We start from the raw sequence: 14,227 nt of genomic DNA, 5'->3' as shown, positions 1-14,227 counted from the left end.
TAATCTGCCTGCCTTGGCCTCCCAAAGTGCTGGGATCACAGGTGTGAACCACTGCACCCGGTCAATTTTTGAAACTGGAAAATACCTCAGATATTAATCAGCTTCCAATCTTCACTCATCACTCAGAGAGAGAAACCCAAAGAGTGAGAAGAAGGGTTTACTCAAGAGCACAAATCAAACTGAGTGTTACTGCCTCCAAGCCCTTAGTTCTATTCCTGCTGTCTACCTCGGGCAGAGGCCACTAAAGATCCACCAATATTCGTGTTTTCTCTTCCATAATATGGAATTGCTGCTGGAAAATGGCTGCCCAGCTAAGGACTGCATTTCCCATCTCTCCTTGCATGTGGATGCAGTCATGTGACTGCTTCTGGCCAATAGAATAGGAGCATTTGTCATAAGCATCACTTTCAGGGCACTGTATTTAAGGAGAAATTACTTCTCCATACCTCCTCTCTCCCTATTTTCTGCAGGCTGAGACTCTAAGGGATGGCAAAACTGCAAATGAAAGTAGCCTGGGTCCCTGAATTATCTGCGGGGAAAAGCCCCCCGACCTGGAACTAGAAGCACATGCATTGTACTGTTTTGTGTACAAGAAATCAATTTTTACCATGTGAAGTCACTGAAATGTCTTGTTTGTTACAGTAGCTGGTGTTATCCTAATGAAGTACCCTTTGGGCCAGAGTTAGCTGTGATGTGTCTGTCTGATCCTCAGAGACCTCATGGATCTCCATTCCAGCTTCTCTTGCCGATTCTTACAGTAATTATATGCAGGGAGATGAATAAAGGACTGCTGTCTGGGCTAAAAGTTCCTCTCCTATTTGCCTGGTGAACTCCTACTCATCCTTCAAGGCCCATCTCCAATATCTCTTCTTCCAGGAAACCTTCCCCAATGTCTTCAGCCAAGCAGAGTCCTCATTCTCCCCCAACTGCAGCCTCCCTTAACATGATGTCCCTCCTCAACCCAGGCCTGACAACGAAGACGCCTGTGCTGGGCTCTCTCCAGATGAAGTCAGGACCCAGGGTTGAGTCACCTCTGAATCCTGAACACCACATGGTGGCATGCAATAGTGCCCAATACAATTTATTGAATAAATAAATGAGGCTGGGTGTGGAGGCTGATGCTTATAATCCCAGCACTATGGGAGGCCGAAGAGGGTGGATCACTTGAAGTCAGGAGTTCGAGACCAGCCTGGCCGACATGGTGAAATGCTGTCTCTACTAAAAATACAAAAATTAGCCGGGCATGGTGGTGCATGCCTGTAATCCCAGCTACTTGAGAAGCTGAGGCAGGAGGATCACTTGAACCTGGAAGGCGGAGGCTGCAGTGAGCTGAGATCGTGCCACTGCACTCCAGCCTGGGCAACAGAGCAAGACGCCATCTCAAAAATAAATAAATAAATAGAAATGAATAACACAGTAACTAAGAGACAGTCTGTACCTCCGTTCCAGATGAGGACAAAGGTTTTGGAACAACAGTTGAAAGCATGCCTTTTCATTGCAATCCATTTCTTTGCTTACAGCTGGGGAAACAGGTTCATTCTTTCAACAATGGGCACCTCAAACTTAACAGGTCCAAGATTGACATCATTGCCAGTTCAAACTTGCTCTCCCTCCAGCCTCTTCATCTAACAATGGTGCCATTACCACCCAGCAATTTGTCTTAGGAACCCAAGATGATTTTCAACACTCCCCAATCCTTCAGAATCAACTTAGAGTAATTTTTTTTTTTTGAGATAACGTTTCACTCTTGTCGCCCAGGCCAGAGTGCAATGACGTGATCTCAGCTCACTGCAACCTCCGCCTCCTGGGTTCAAGCAATTCTCCAGCCTCAGCCTCCTGAGTAGCTGCGATTACAGGCGCCCGCCACCACGCCTGGCTAATTTTTTGTATTTTTAGTAGAGGCAGGGTTTCACCATGTAGGCCAGGCTGGTCTCGAACTCCTGACCTCAGGGGATCCACCCACCTCTGCCTCTCAAAGTGCTGGGATTAAAGGCATGAACCACTGTGCCCGGCCAAGTTAGAGTAATTTCATAGGTGATCGTCTACAAGCCAGGAACGAATCTAAGTGTTTTGAAAGTCGGGTTTATTTTTATTTTTATTTCTTTAGAGACAGGGTCTCACTCTGTTGCCCAGGCTGAAGTGCAGTAGTGCAATCTGCAGCCTTGAAATTGGGCTCAAGCAATCTTCCTGCCTCAGCCTCCTGAGCAGCTGGGACTATGGGCATGCACCACCACACCTGGCTAACTTTTTATTTGTAGAGATGAGGTCTTGCTCTGTCACCCAGACTGGAGTGAAGTGGCACAATCATAGCTCACTGCAGCCTCCACCTTTTGGGTTCAATTGATCCTCTTGCCTCAACCTCCTGAGTGTTGGGACTACAGGCATGCACCACCATGCCCAGATAACGTTATTTTTATTTTTATTTTTTGTAGATACAGGGTCTTGTTACATTGTCCAGGCTGGTTTTGAACTCCTGGCCTCAAACAATTAGCTTGTCTTGGCTTCCCAAAGTGCTGGTATTACAGGCATGAGCCACTGCACCTGGCTGGAAATGGAGGATTCATTGAATCCTCCATTTCCAGTCAATCAATAGATTATTCAGATTCTACATCCAAACTATCTGTCACATCTAAGCTCTTCTCACCATCCCTGTTCCCAAATCCTAGAGCAGCCACCGCAGTGATCACCTTTGTGGCTGCAACAGCCTCCTCAGTGGTCTTCCTGATCCGTTTTGTACTCCTCCCAGCCCACCTTCATACAGCAAATCTAACCATGTCAATCTCCTCTTGAAACCTTGCCATGGTTCCCCCATCATCCCCAACACAAAGTTCAACCTCACCACGGCCCCTGCTGACTTCTCTGATGACTCTACTCTTTTTTTTCTCACTTACCTCTCCCACCTCTGCTCCAGCCAGGTGGAAGTGGTTGCCACACGCTAAATGCACCTATTTTACTGTCTCTCATCTCCAGGTCTCATATATAAGGTTGCCTCTGCCCTGAATGCCCTTTGTGGTAGATTACAAATACTTTCCAGCTCCTACCAGCCAAAGAGAATTGCCGGGTATGGTGGCTCATGCCTGTAACCCCAAGACATGATTGGGAGGATTGGGTGGGGTGGGAGAATTGCTTGAGGCCAGGAGTTCAAGACCAGCCTGGCAACAAAGCAAGACCCCGTCTCTACAAATGAATTTAAAATTAGCCAGGTGTGGTGGCACATGCCTATAGTTCCAGCTACTCAGGAGGCTGAGGATCAATTGAGTCCAGGAGTTTGAGGTTGCAGTGAGCTAAGATCAAGTCACTGCACCCCAGCTTGGGCGACAAGACAAGACCCTATCTCAAAAAAAAAAAAAAAAAAAAAGAGAGGTAGATTCTAAGTCTTCATCTTTTGTATCTGGGTTGGTCTTGTGGCTCGCTTTAGCCCATAGAGGCTTTGCAACTTCTCCTGTTGCTTTCTTGGAATACTCCTGCCAAATTCAAGCACTCAGGCTAAATTGCCAGAGGATGAGAGACCGTGTGGAGCAGAGACAAGCACCTAGCTAAAGGTATCCTATACTAATCAACTGGCCAACCAGCAGATATGTGAATGAGGCCCTCCTAGACTACCTACCCCAGCCAAGTTATTAGCTAACCACAGAGATCACCTATCTGCCCAGACAATTTACTAAATTAATTGGAATAACAAATATTGTCTTTAAGCCATTCCATTTTAGGGGACTGTTTGTTACACAGCAAAAGCTAACTGATAATGTGCAATTCCAGGTTGCATTCTTAAAGGGAGGAACATTCTAGCCCCTTTATCTGGCTGGCAAGTGAGTATGGTGATGAGTATTCTTGGAAACTGAGGACAAAGGAAATTCACAGGTGGCGGAAGAACAGAACAGGAGGAGCTGGTCTTTGACATTGTAGAAAGGACCATGCCAGCCTTGGACTGATTAAGCTCAGATTATTGCATAAGAAATAAATAATCTTCAGTTTTATTTAAGTCCTTGTTACTTTGGTTCTCTGCTACATAGAGTGACTTACCTCCTAGTTTGCCAAGGATGACCCAAGCTTATGCCTGTTGTCCTAAGGTAATTATTGGGGAGGAGAGAATTGGTTGGGGTTTTTTTGAACTTTTTTTTTTGAGATGAAGTCTCACTCTTGTCTCCCAGGCTGGAGTGCAATGGTGTGATCTTGGCTCACTGCAAACTCCGCCTCCTGGGTTCAAGCGATTCTCCTCCTTCAGCCTCTCGAGTAGCTGGGATTACAGGCACCTGCCACCACACCTGGCTAATTTTTGTATTTTTAGTAGAGACGGGTTTCACCATGCTGGCAAGGCTGGTCTCAAACTCCTGACCTCAGGCAATCCACCTGCCTCGGCCTCCCAAAGTGCTGGGATTATAGGCTTGAGCCACCGCGCCCGGCCTTTTTTTTAACTTTTTCTTTTCTTTTTTTTTTTTTTTTTTTGAGACAGAGTCTCACTCTGTCACCCAGGATGGAGTGCAGTGGCAGAATCTCGACTCACTGCAACCTCTGGCTCCCAGGTTCAAGCGATTCTCCTGCTCAGCCTCCTGAGTAGCTGGGATTACAGGTGTGTGCCACCAAGCCCAGCTAATTTTTGTATTTTTAGTAGAGATGGGGTTTCACCATCTTGGTCAGACTAGTCTCGAACTCCTGACCTCATGATCTGCCCACCTTGGCCTCCCAAAGTGCTGGGATTACAGGAGTGATTTTAACTTTTTTTTAAAAGACAGGGTCTCACTCTGTTGCCCAGTTGAGTGCAGTGGCATGATTACAGCTCACTGCAGCCTCCACCTCCTGGGCTCAAGTGATCCTCCCACCTCAGCCTCCAGAGTAGCTCCCAGTACAAGCCTCCTGGTACCGGTCCATGGTCTGTTAGGAACTGGGCCACACATCAGGAGGTGAGTGGTGGGCAGGTGAGCTAGCATAGCTTCATCTGTATTTACAACCACTCCCCATTGCTCGCATTACCACCTGAGCCCCACCTCCTGTCAGATCAGCTGCAGCGTTAGATCCTCATAGGAGTGCAAACCCTACTGTGAACTCCACATGTGAGGGATCTACCTTGTGCGCTCCTTATCGGGAATCTGGTGCCTGATGATCTGCCACTGTCTCCCATCACCCCCAGATGGGATCATCTAGTTGCAGGAAAACAAGCTCAGGGCTCCCACTGATTCTACATTATGGTGAGTTGTATACTTATTTCATTATATGTTACAATGTAATAATAATAGAAATAAAGGGAACAATAAATGTAACGCATTTGAATCATCCTGAAACCATCCCCCCTAACTCTGGTCCATGGAAAAATTGTCTTCCACAAAACCGGTCACTGCTACCAAAAAGGTTGGAGACTGCTGCTCTATAGGTTTAGATGATAAATTAATCTCTACCTAACTGTTACAGTAGCCAAACCTCTATCCTAATGAATACACAGCATTGATTACAACAGGTTGTACCTGTCTGAACAGATCGTGGAATCCCAGTAGACTGGGATCACCATGAGAGCAGAAACAAGTTCTTATCAACCATCACATTCCCTGCTGCTGGGACGCAGTAGACAAATCAATGAGGGATGGTGGAAAGAATGAATATATTCATTAACTAATTATGCACACATCCATACCCTTTCCTCTTTCTCTTCTAGCAACATGGGCTGAGAGGGGCTCCACCCCCAGTTCCAGTCAATTAGCATGGCCCATCCCCTTGCCTATGACTATTGGTTCAGAGATTAACACATGACCCACTTCAGACCAATGAGAGAGTGCAAATCCCGGATCTTAAGCTCCAGCTTCTGGGACAGTGATTTACTCTCCGCTGTGTTGGTCAAGAGTGAGGTTAGGCGGTCTGGAGCAACTGCAGCTACTTTGCTGCCATGAGTGGGAGATCCTAGATTTACAAAGCCAGAAAAGGAATCCATCACAGAGACATGCAGTCCTTGATGACATTGTTGGAGCTACTGAATGAAGCCATACTTAAAACCCACATACGAGTTTGCTTCTCTTCCAAAACGGCATTGAGAAAAAATTATTTTCATTAAAAAAAATTGTTGGCCGTGCATGGTGGCTCACGCCTGGAATCCCAGCACTTTGGGAGCCCATGGCGGGTGAATCACAAGGTCAGGAGTTCGAGACCAGCCAGACCAACATGGTGAAACCCCGTTTCTACTAAAAATACAAAAATTAGCTGGGCGTGGTGGAATGCACCTGTAATCCCAGCTACTCGGGAGGCTGAAGCAGGAGAATTGCTTGAACCCGGGTGGCGGAGGTTGCAGTGAGCCGAGATCGTGCCACTGTACTCCAGGCTGGGTGACAGAGTGAGACTCCATCTCAAAAAAAAGAGCTTCATTTACAAAAACAGGTGGCAGGCTGCATTTGGCCCACAGGTCATGGTTTGTTGACCTGTAATTAGGTTTTCTGTCATTTGCAAACTTCTTGGGAGCATAGCCACTGCCTTGATGGAACACCAGACCTTGTTAGACGGGAGGAAGTTGAGGGAATCAGCCCATAAACCCCTTTAGCATCCAAGACACTTCCATCAGGGCAGTCCAGAGACTCCAGGCTGATCTTCCTTCCTTCCTTCTTCCTTCCTTCCTTTCCTCCTCTCTTTTAGTTTCTTTTTTATTCATATAAATGAATAAATATTACTATATATAATATTCATATAGTGTGTGTGCATATATATATACACATATGTGTGAGCTGTATAATTATTTCATTATATATTACAATGTAATAATAATAGAAATAAAGTGAACAATAAATGTAATGTGGTTGATTCATCCTGAAACCATCCCCCCAACTCATGTGTGTGTGCGTGTATGTGTGTGTGTGTGTGTGTGTGTGTGTGTGTATCTGTAGAAATGAGGGTCTCACTATGTTGCCCAGGCTGGTCTCGAACCCCTGGGCTCAAGTGATCCTCCTGCCTCAGCCTCCTAAGGTCCTGGGATTACAGATGTGAGCCACCACAACTGGTCTATTTTCTTTGTTTTTGTTTTGTTTTGTTTTGTTTGAGATGGAGTCTTGCTCTGTGGCCCAGGCTAGAGTGCAGTATTATGATCTCAACTCGCTGCAACCTCCACCTCCCGGGTTCAAGCGATGCTCCTGCCTCAGCCTCCTGAGTAGCTGGGATCACAGGTGTGTGCCACCATACCCAGCTAATTTTTGTATTTTTAGTAGAGACGGGGTTTCACCATGTTGGCCAGGCTGGTCTCGAACTCCTGACTGTAGGTGATCCATCCGCCTCGGCCTCCCAAAGTGCTGGGATTACAGGCATGAACCGCTGCGCCCGGCCTTACCACCGCTTTTCATGGCAATTACCTGATCACCCAAAAGTTACTACCCCTTCCCTGGAAATTTCTGCATAAACTGCCCCTTACTCTACATGTAATTAAAAGGAGGTATGGGCCGGGGGGCGGTGGCTCACACCTGTAATCCCAGCACTTAGGGAGGCTGAGGCGGGTGGTTCACGCCTCAGGAAGGTCAGGCAATCGAGACCATCCTGGCTAACATGGTGAAAACTCATCTCTACTAAAAATACAAAAAATTAGCCGGGCATGGTGGCGGGCGCCTGTAGTCCCAGCTACTTGGGAGGCTGAAGCAGGAGAATGGCGTGAACGTGGGAGGCAGAGCTTGCAGTGAGCCAAGATTGCGCCACTGCACTCCAGCCTGTGCGACAGAGCAAGACTCCGTCTCAAAAAAAAAAAAAAAAGGAGGTATGGGAAGGGCACAGTGGTTCATGCCTGTAATCCCAGCACTTTGGGAGGCCAAGGCAGGCAGAACACCTGAGGTCGGAAATTTGAGACCAGCCTGGCCAACATGGCGAAACCTCATCTCTACTAAAAATACAAAAGTTAGTCAGGCGTGGTGGCACGCGCCTGTAATCCCAGCTACTCAGAAGGGTGAGGCAGGAGAATTGCTTGAACCTGGGAGGCAGAGGTTGCAATGAGCTGAGATTGCACTACTGCACTCCAGCCTGGGCGACAGAGCAAGACTCTGTCTCTAAATAAATAAATAAATAAATATAAATAGGACCGCCAAACTGCCCTGAGCTGCTACTCTCAGCCTGTGGGGTAGCCCTGCAAGAGCAGTCATGGAGCTGTAACACTGCCACGGCAATAAAGCTGTTTTCGTCTACCCTACCACTGGAATCACCCTTGAATTCTTTCCTTAGCCTGTGAGGCTTCTTGGGTGAAACCAAGAAGCCTCACAGGCTAAGCCCCACTTTGGGGCTTGCCTGCCGTGCGTCACATTCTCTGGATTTGGACACATGTATGATGATGGGTATCCACTATTATAGTGTCATAGAGAGTATTTTCACTGCCGTGGAAAGCTTCCATGCTCTGCCTATCCATACCCCCTTTCCACTAACCTCTGACAACTACTGATCTTTTTACTGCTTCTACAGTTTTGCCTTTTCTGAAACATCACATAGCTGGTATCATATAGTATGTAGCCTTTTGGGACTGGCTTCTTTCACTTAGTAATATGCATTTGGGGTTCCTGCGTGTCTCTTCATGGCTTGAGAGCTCATCTCATCTCTCTTCAGTGCTGAATAATATTCCATTGTCTGCGCTGGGAGCAGTGGCTCACACCTGTAATCTCAGCACTTTGGGAGGCCGACGTGGCTGGATCACCTGAGGTCAGGAGTTTGAGGCCAGCCTGGCCAACATGGTGAAATCCCATCTCTACTAAAAATACAAAAATTAGCCAGGTGTGGTGGCAGGTGCCAGTAAACCCAGCTACTCAGGAGGCTGAGGCAGGAGAACAGCTTGGACCTGGGAAGCAGAGGTTGCAGTGAGCCGAGACCACACCATTGCACTCTAGCCTGGACAACAAGGGCAAAAGTCCATCTCTAATAATAATAATAATATTCCATTGTCTGGATGCACCACAGCTTATTTATCCATACGAGGAAGTAGGTGGAACTTGACTCTGGAGGTGGGGCTCAGACAACGGACCAAATTGAGGACTAGCTAAAACAGGGCTGGAGCAGAAGCACCTTTCCATAAGACATGCCCACCAGTGTGCCATGGCAGTTTGCCATTGTGATGGTAACACCAGCAGCTACTACTCCTTTCCCAAGGCAATGACCCGACAACCCAGAAGTTACCACCCTTTTCCTAGAAATTTGCATAATCTGCCCTTTAATTTGCATATAATTAAAGTGGGTACAAAGATGACTGCAACCCTGATTACTCCGGGCTCACAGCCTGTGGGGTAGCCCTGCTCTGCGAGGAGCAGGACTTCTGCAACTGCCGCTATGCACTTTCACTTCAGTAAAAGCTACTGTCTAACACCTCCAGCTCGCCCTGGAATTCTTTCCTGGGCAAAACAAAGAACCGTCCCAGGCTGAGCCCCAATTTAGGGCTTGCCTTGCCCTACATCGCATTCATCTACCGAAGGACAATTTGTTGCCTCCCAGTTTCAGCAATCATGAATAAAGCCGCTACAAAGACTTGAGTGTAAGTTTTTGTGTGGACATAAATGTTCAACTCCTTTGGGTAAATAGAGGACCTCAATACCTAGTACCATGTCTGACACATAGTAGATGCTCAATAAAATCTGTCGAATGAATAAATCTCCCTTTGACAGAGGAAACAACTGAGGCTCAGAGAGGGGATACTGCCCATCCCGGACCACACAGATAGGAATGGAGAACCAGATACCAGCACTGGATCCCAAAGTCTGTGCCTCTAACCTCTGTACAACACTGCCTCTTTGAACCACACTAAGCTGCTCCTGGTGCCTCTTAGAGAGTGGCATAATGAGGGCGCTCATGGGCAGGCAGATCACCAGAGACAATAGAGCAGATGGCTGTGTCTGTGGCTCGAGGGAGGAAGTTCCCTCCTGACCTCAGGGAGATCAGCTGAACCCGGAGACAGCTTCCTTCCAGTCATGTGATGCCTCAAAGAGGGGAAAGGGGGCATGATTCATCCCCTCTCCGGGCTGCGGTGGGGCCAGCTAAAGAAAGGGGCTCCATCAGACAGCAGCAGTGACTGCAGTTAGACCACCAGAAAGGACTTCCTGGTCGCCTGAAGAGTGTGAGAAAGTGGCAAAGGACAGGAGGTCCTTTATTTTTTTTAATTTTATTATTATTATACTTTAAATTTTAGGGTACATGTGCACAACGTGCAGGTTTGTTACATATGTATACATGTGTCATGTTGGTGTGCTGCACCCATTAACTCCTCATTTAGCATTAGGTATATCTCCTAATGTTATCCCTCCCCACTTCCCCGACCCCACAACAGTCCCCTGTGTGTGATGTTCCCCTTCCTGTGCCCATGTGTTCTCATTGTTCAATTCCCACCTATAAGTGAGAACATGCGGTGTTTGGTTTTTTGTCCTTGCTATAGTTTGCTGAGAATGATGGTCCTTTAAACAAACGTAGGAGAGGCATTATGAGGACGGTTCCTCCCTGCTGGGGGCAACCCCCCTCAGTGCCCCTCTTCCTTCCTCCAGGAAGAGGCGGGCACCCACTGTGCTGGCATCGTGCCCATATGCAAATCAGCACCCAGGCGCACTGCGGTGAACCCTGAGGTTCATTCTTCCCCATTTGCCAGCCAGCCTCCCATCAACAAAACCCCTGCCCAAGATGAAGAAAGAGCCAGAAAGGTCGGCTGGCTTTCCACGCTCCTTCGGGGAAGCAGTGTGCAGGGACAGAGGCCTCTGGGGTCTGGGAGAAGGGGACCCAGAGCCAAGCACGACGGCAGCAATCAACTCCCCACCCCCACCCCAGCACCAGGGAGCCGGCCGGAAACCGGAAATGCCTGTTACCAGGGCTTGGTTGGGGAGATAGAAAAAAGGGTGGGTGGAGGGGCCCTTTGCGTTCAACCCATCAGCCCCTTCATCAGGCAACCTCAAGCTCCCGAGGGTTCCCAGAGAGGGCGGGTGTGCTGTGCACCCTTTCAAAGCTCCGAAGCAGGGGTGCAGAGTGTGCACGCCTCATCCTAGCCCTCAAACCCTTCTGTGAGGAAGCCCGTCTCTCTTCTGCCCCATCCCCTACCACCCCAGCACACACTCCACTTTTCAGCACCGGTGGGAGGGTCAGGCAGATCTGGTTCGACTCCCAGACCAGCCCGGCAAGTTGAGGGAGCTTGGATGGGATCATTTTGCTTTCCGTTGATTCAATTGACTCATCTGTACGTCGGGAATGAAAATACTTGACCCAATGTTTGCGGTAGAGCCTGGTGTGAAACCCAGCACCCCAGACCCGGTCATGCATTAATTCAGCAAGCATGTGTGGAATGCCTACTGTATGCCAAGCACCAGAACCTAATGGTGATCAAGACAAACAGAGCTCTGCCCTTACAGGGCTTATGTAATCCAGCCAGGAGACAAACACTAAGCAGTCAGCAAGGTGAATAATTGATGATGAGGGTGGTGAGAGGGTGTGCCGGGAAGCACAGAGAGCTATGGGACCTGGTTAAATGCAGGAGGCACCTGGTAAGGCTTTGGGGTGGTACAGGAGAGAATGGTGCCATGCAGGCGACAAAGAGATGGTGAGCGGCTGGGTGCGGTGGCTCACGCCTGTAATCCCAGCACTTTGGGAGGCTGAGGCGGGCGGATCACTTGAGGTCAGGGGTTCAAGACCAGCCTGGGCAACATGGTGAAACCCCGACTGCACACACACACACACACAAAAATTTGCCAGGCGTGGTGACAGGCGCCTGTAATCCCAGCTACTCTGGAGGCTGAGGCAGGAGAATCGCTTGAACCCAGGAGGCGGAGGTGGCAGTGAGCCGAGATCACGCCACTGCACAGCCTGGGCAACAGACCGAGGATGTCTCAAAAAAACAAAAAACAAAACAAAACAAAAAAAAGAAGCTGGGTGTGGTGGCTCATGCCTGTAATCCCAGCACTTTGGGACGCTGAGGTGGGTTGATCACTTGAGGTCAGGAGTTTGAGACGCGCCTGGCCAACATATAGTGAAACCTGTCTCTGCTAAAAATACAAAATTAGCTGGGTGTGGTGGAACACGCCTGTAGTCCCAGCTACTTGGAAAGCAGAGGAAGGAGAATCGCTTGAACCCAGGAGGCAGAGGTTGCAGTGAGCCGAGATCATGCCACTGCACTCCAGCCTGGGCAACAGAGCAAGACCCCATCTCAAAAAAAAAAAATGAGACAGATAGTGAAGCAAAGAAGAGAAGCATGCTGAGCAGCTGGCAGGAACATCACATGGCAGATCCACTTTGGAAAAGTTGGTACGTTTTCCTTGTTATTACTATTATTTTTTTACCTTGCAATTCCAGCACAAAGGAAGAAAAGTTGGTACATTTTCTTCTTATTAAAAAAAAAAATTAAGAAACAGAGCCTCACTATGTCGGTCAGGTTGGTCTCAAACTCCTAGGCTCCAGCAATCCTCCCGCCTCAGTTCCCCAAAGTGCTGGAATGACAGGCATGAGCCGCCGTGACTGGCCTGGTAAGTTTTCTTAAAACATTAAGCATGCACCTATCATACGATATATTCCATTACCAGGCATTTACTCAAGAGAAATGAAAGCACATGTCCATACAAAGACTTGTACAGAATGTTCATAGCAGCTTGATTCTGTTTTCTTTTCTTTCCTTTTTTTTTTTTTTTTTTTTTTGAGACAGTCTCAGTCTGTCACCCAGGCTGGAGTGCAGCCTGGCCCAATCACAGCTCACTGCAGTCTCAAATTCCTGGGCTCAAGCAATCCTCCTGCCTCAGCCTTCCAAAGAGTTAGGACTACAGGCATGTGCCACCATATCCAGCTAGCAACTTGATTCATGATAGCCAAAAGTGCCATCAGTAATTCAAACCTCAACCAAGGGGAACATCACACACTGGGGCCTGTCGGGGGCTGGGGGTTAGGAGAGGGATAGCATTCGGAGAAATACCTAATGTAGATGATGGGTTGATGGATGCAGCAAACCACCATGGCACGTGTATACCTATGTAACAAACCTGCACGTTCTGCACATGTATCCCAGAACTTAAAGTATAGGCCGGGCATGGTGGCTCACGCCTGTAATCCCAGCACTTTGGGAGGCCGAGGTGGGCAGATTATGAGGTCAGGAGTTCGAGACCAGCCTGGTCAACATGGTGAAACCCTGTCTTTACTAAAAATACAAAAAAATTAGCCAGGCGTGGTGGCGCACACCTGTAGTCCCAGCTGTTCGAGAGGCTGAGGCAGAAGAATCGCTTGAACCTGGGAGGCGGAGGTTGCAGTGAGCCGAGATTGCGCCACTGCACTCCAGCCTGGGCGACAGAGCGAGACTCCATCTCAAAAAAACAAAGCGAAACAAACAAAAAAACCTCCATCAAGGGATGAATGGATAAACAAACTGGGGTGCATCCGTACAACAGAATGGTACACTGATACATACAACAACATGGATGAACCAGGACATCATGCTCAGGGAAAGCAGCCAGTCACAGAAGACCACAGATGGTACCATTCCACTTACATAAAACTCCAGGAAATACAAACTAATCGACAGTGACTAACAGCAAATCAGGAGGTACGAGGGAATGAGAGGTGGGAGGAGGGGGAGGCAGGGAGGGGTGGGATGGAGGAAACTTTGAGGGGCAATGGATATGATCCATTGATTTCAAGGCTGGGTTCATAGTTGCACACATATGTCAAAATTTATCAAATCAGGCCAGGTTCAGTGGCACACACCTGTAATCCCAGCTACTCAGGAGGCTAGGGTAGGAGGATCGCTTGAGTCCAGGAGTTCAAGGCCAGTCTGGGCAACATAGGGAGACCCTGATTCTTTCTTTTTTCCCCCTTCTTTTGGGTGGGGGGGGGAAGGGGAGAAACAGGGTCTCACTCTGTCACCCAGACTGGAGTGCAGTGGTGCAATCCTGGCTCACTGCAGCCTCGACTTCCTGGGTTCAAATGATCCTCCCATCTCAGCCTCCCAAGTAGCTGGGACTACAGGCACATGCCACTATGACCAGCTAATTATTTTATTTATTTATTTATTTATTTATTATTTATTAGAGATGAGGCTGGTCTCACCATGTTGCCCAGGCTGATCTCGATCTCCTAAACTCAAGCAATCCTCCCACACCAGCTTCCCAAAGGGGCGAGATTACAGGCTTCAGGCACCATGCCCTGCCAAGACCGTTTCTGAAAACAAATCTAGAAATTAAAGAAAAAATTGTTTACCAAATCATATATTTTTTTTTGAGACAGAGTCTCACTCTGTTGCCCAGGCTGGAGTGCAATGATGCGATCTCCGCTCACTGCAACCTCC

The 14,227-nt window shown here is 48.2% G+C and overlaps 1 protein-coding gene across 4 annotated transcripts in view, besides 4 other annotated features; it reads right to left on the bottom strand.

The window, feature by feature from the left end:
* VAV1 (vav guanine nucleotide exchange factor 1) overlaps positions 1-14,227 on the bottom strand; it is an 84,654-nt gene that overhangs the window by 44,926 nt on the left and 25,501 nt on the right. The gene's annotated exons all lie outside the window — the stretch shown is intronic.
* Positions 5,584-5,878: an enhancer, noted in NCBI's record as "tiled region #13171; HepG2 Activating non-DNase unmatched - State 22:ReprW, and K562 Activating DNase matched - State 9:DNaseU". NCBI's record gives its function as "activates a minimal TATA promoter and a strong SV40 promoter by Sharpr-MPRA in HepG2 and K562 cells {active_cell/tissue: HepG2 | K562}" and the evidence as "EXISTENCE:reporter gene assay evidence [ECO:0000049][PMID:27701403]".
* Positions 9,242-9,461: an enhancer, noted in NCBI's record as "active region_13866". NCBI's record gives its function as "activates an Ori minimal core promoter by ATAC-STARR-seq in GM12878 lymphoblastoid cells {active_cell/tissue: GM12878}" and the evidence as "EXISTENCE:reporter gene assay evidence [ECO:0000049][PMID:35858748]".
* Positions 10,204-10,724: an enhancer, noted in NCBI's record as "H3K4me1 hESC enhancer chr19:6801723-6802243 (GRCh37/hg19 assembly coordinates)". NCBI's record gives its function as "activates a minimal SCP1, AML or CMV promoter by ChIP-STARR-seq in naive H9 embryonic stem cells {active_cell/tissue: H9 hESC(naive)}" and the evidence as "EXISTENCE:reporter gene assay evidence [ECO:0000049][PMID:30033119]".
* Positions 10,344-10,413: an enhancer, noted in NCBI's record as "active region_13865". NCBI's record gives its function as "activates an Ori minimal core promoter by ATAC-STARR-seq in GM12878 lymphoblastoid cells {active_cell/tissue: GM12878}" and the evidence as "EXISTENCE:reporter gene assay evidence [ECO:0000049][PMID:35858748]".

Source organism: Homo sapiens, chromosome 19 (genome assembly GCF_000001405.40).
Source record: "Homo sapiens chromosome 19, GRCh38.p14 Primary Assembly".
In the NCBI taxonomy this organism is placed as follows: Eukaryota; Metazoa; Chordata; class Mammalia; order Primates; family Hominidae; genus Homo; species Homo sapiens.
The sequence above is the reverse complement of the archived record's forward strand: the minus strand, read 5'-3'. Positions and strand labels throughout refer to the sequence as shown.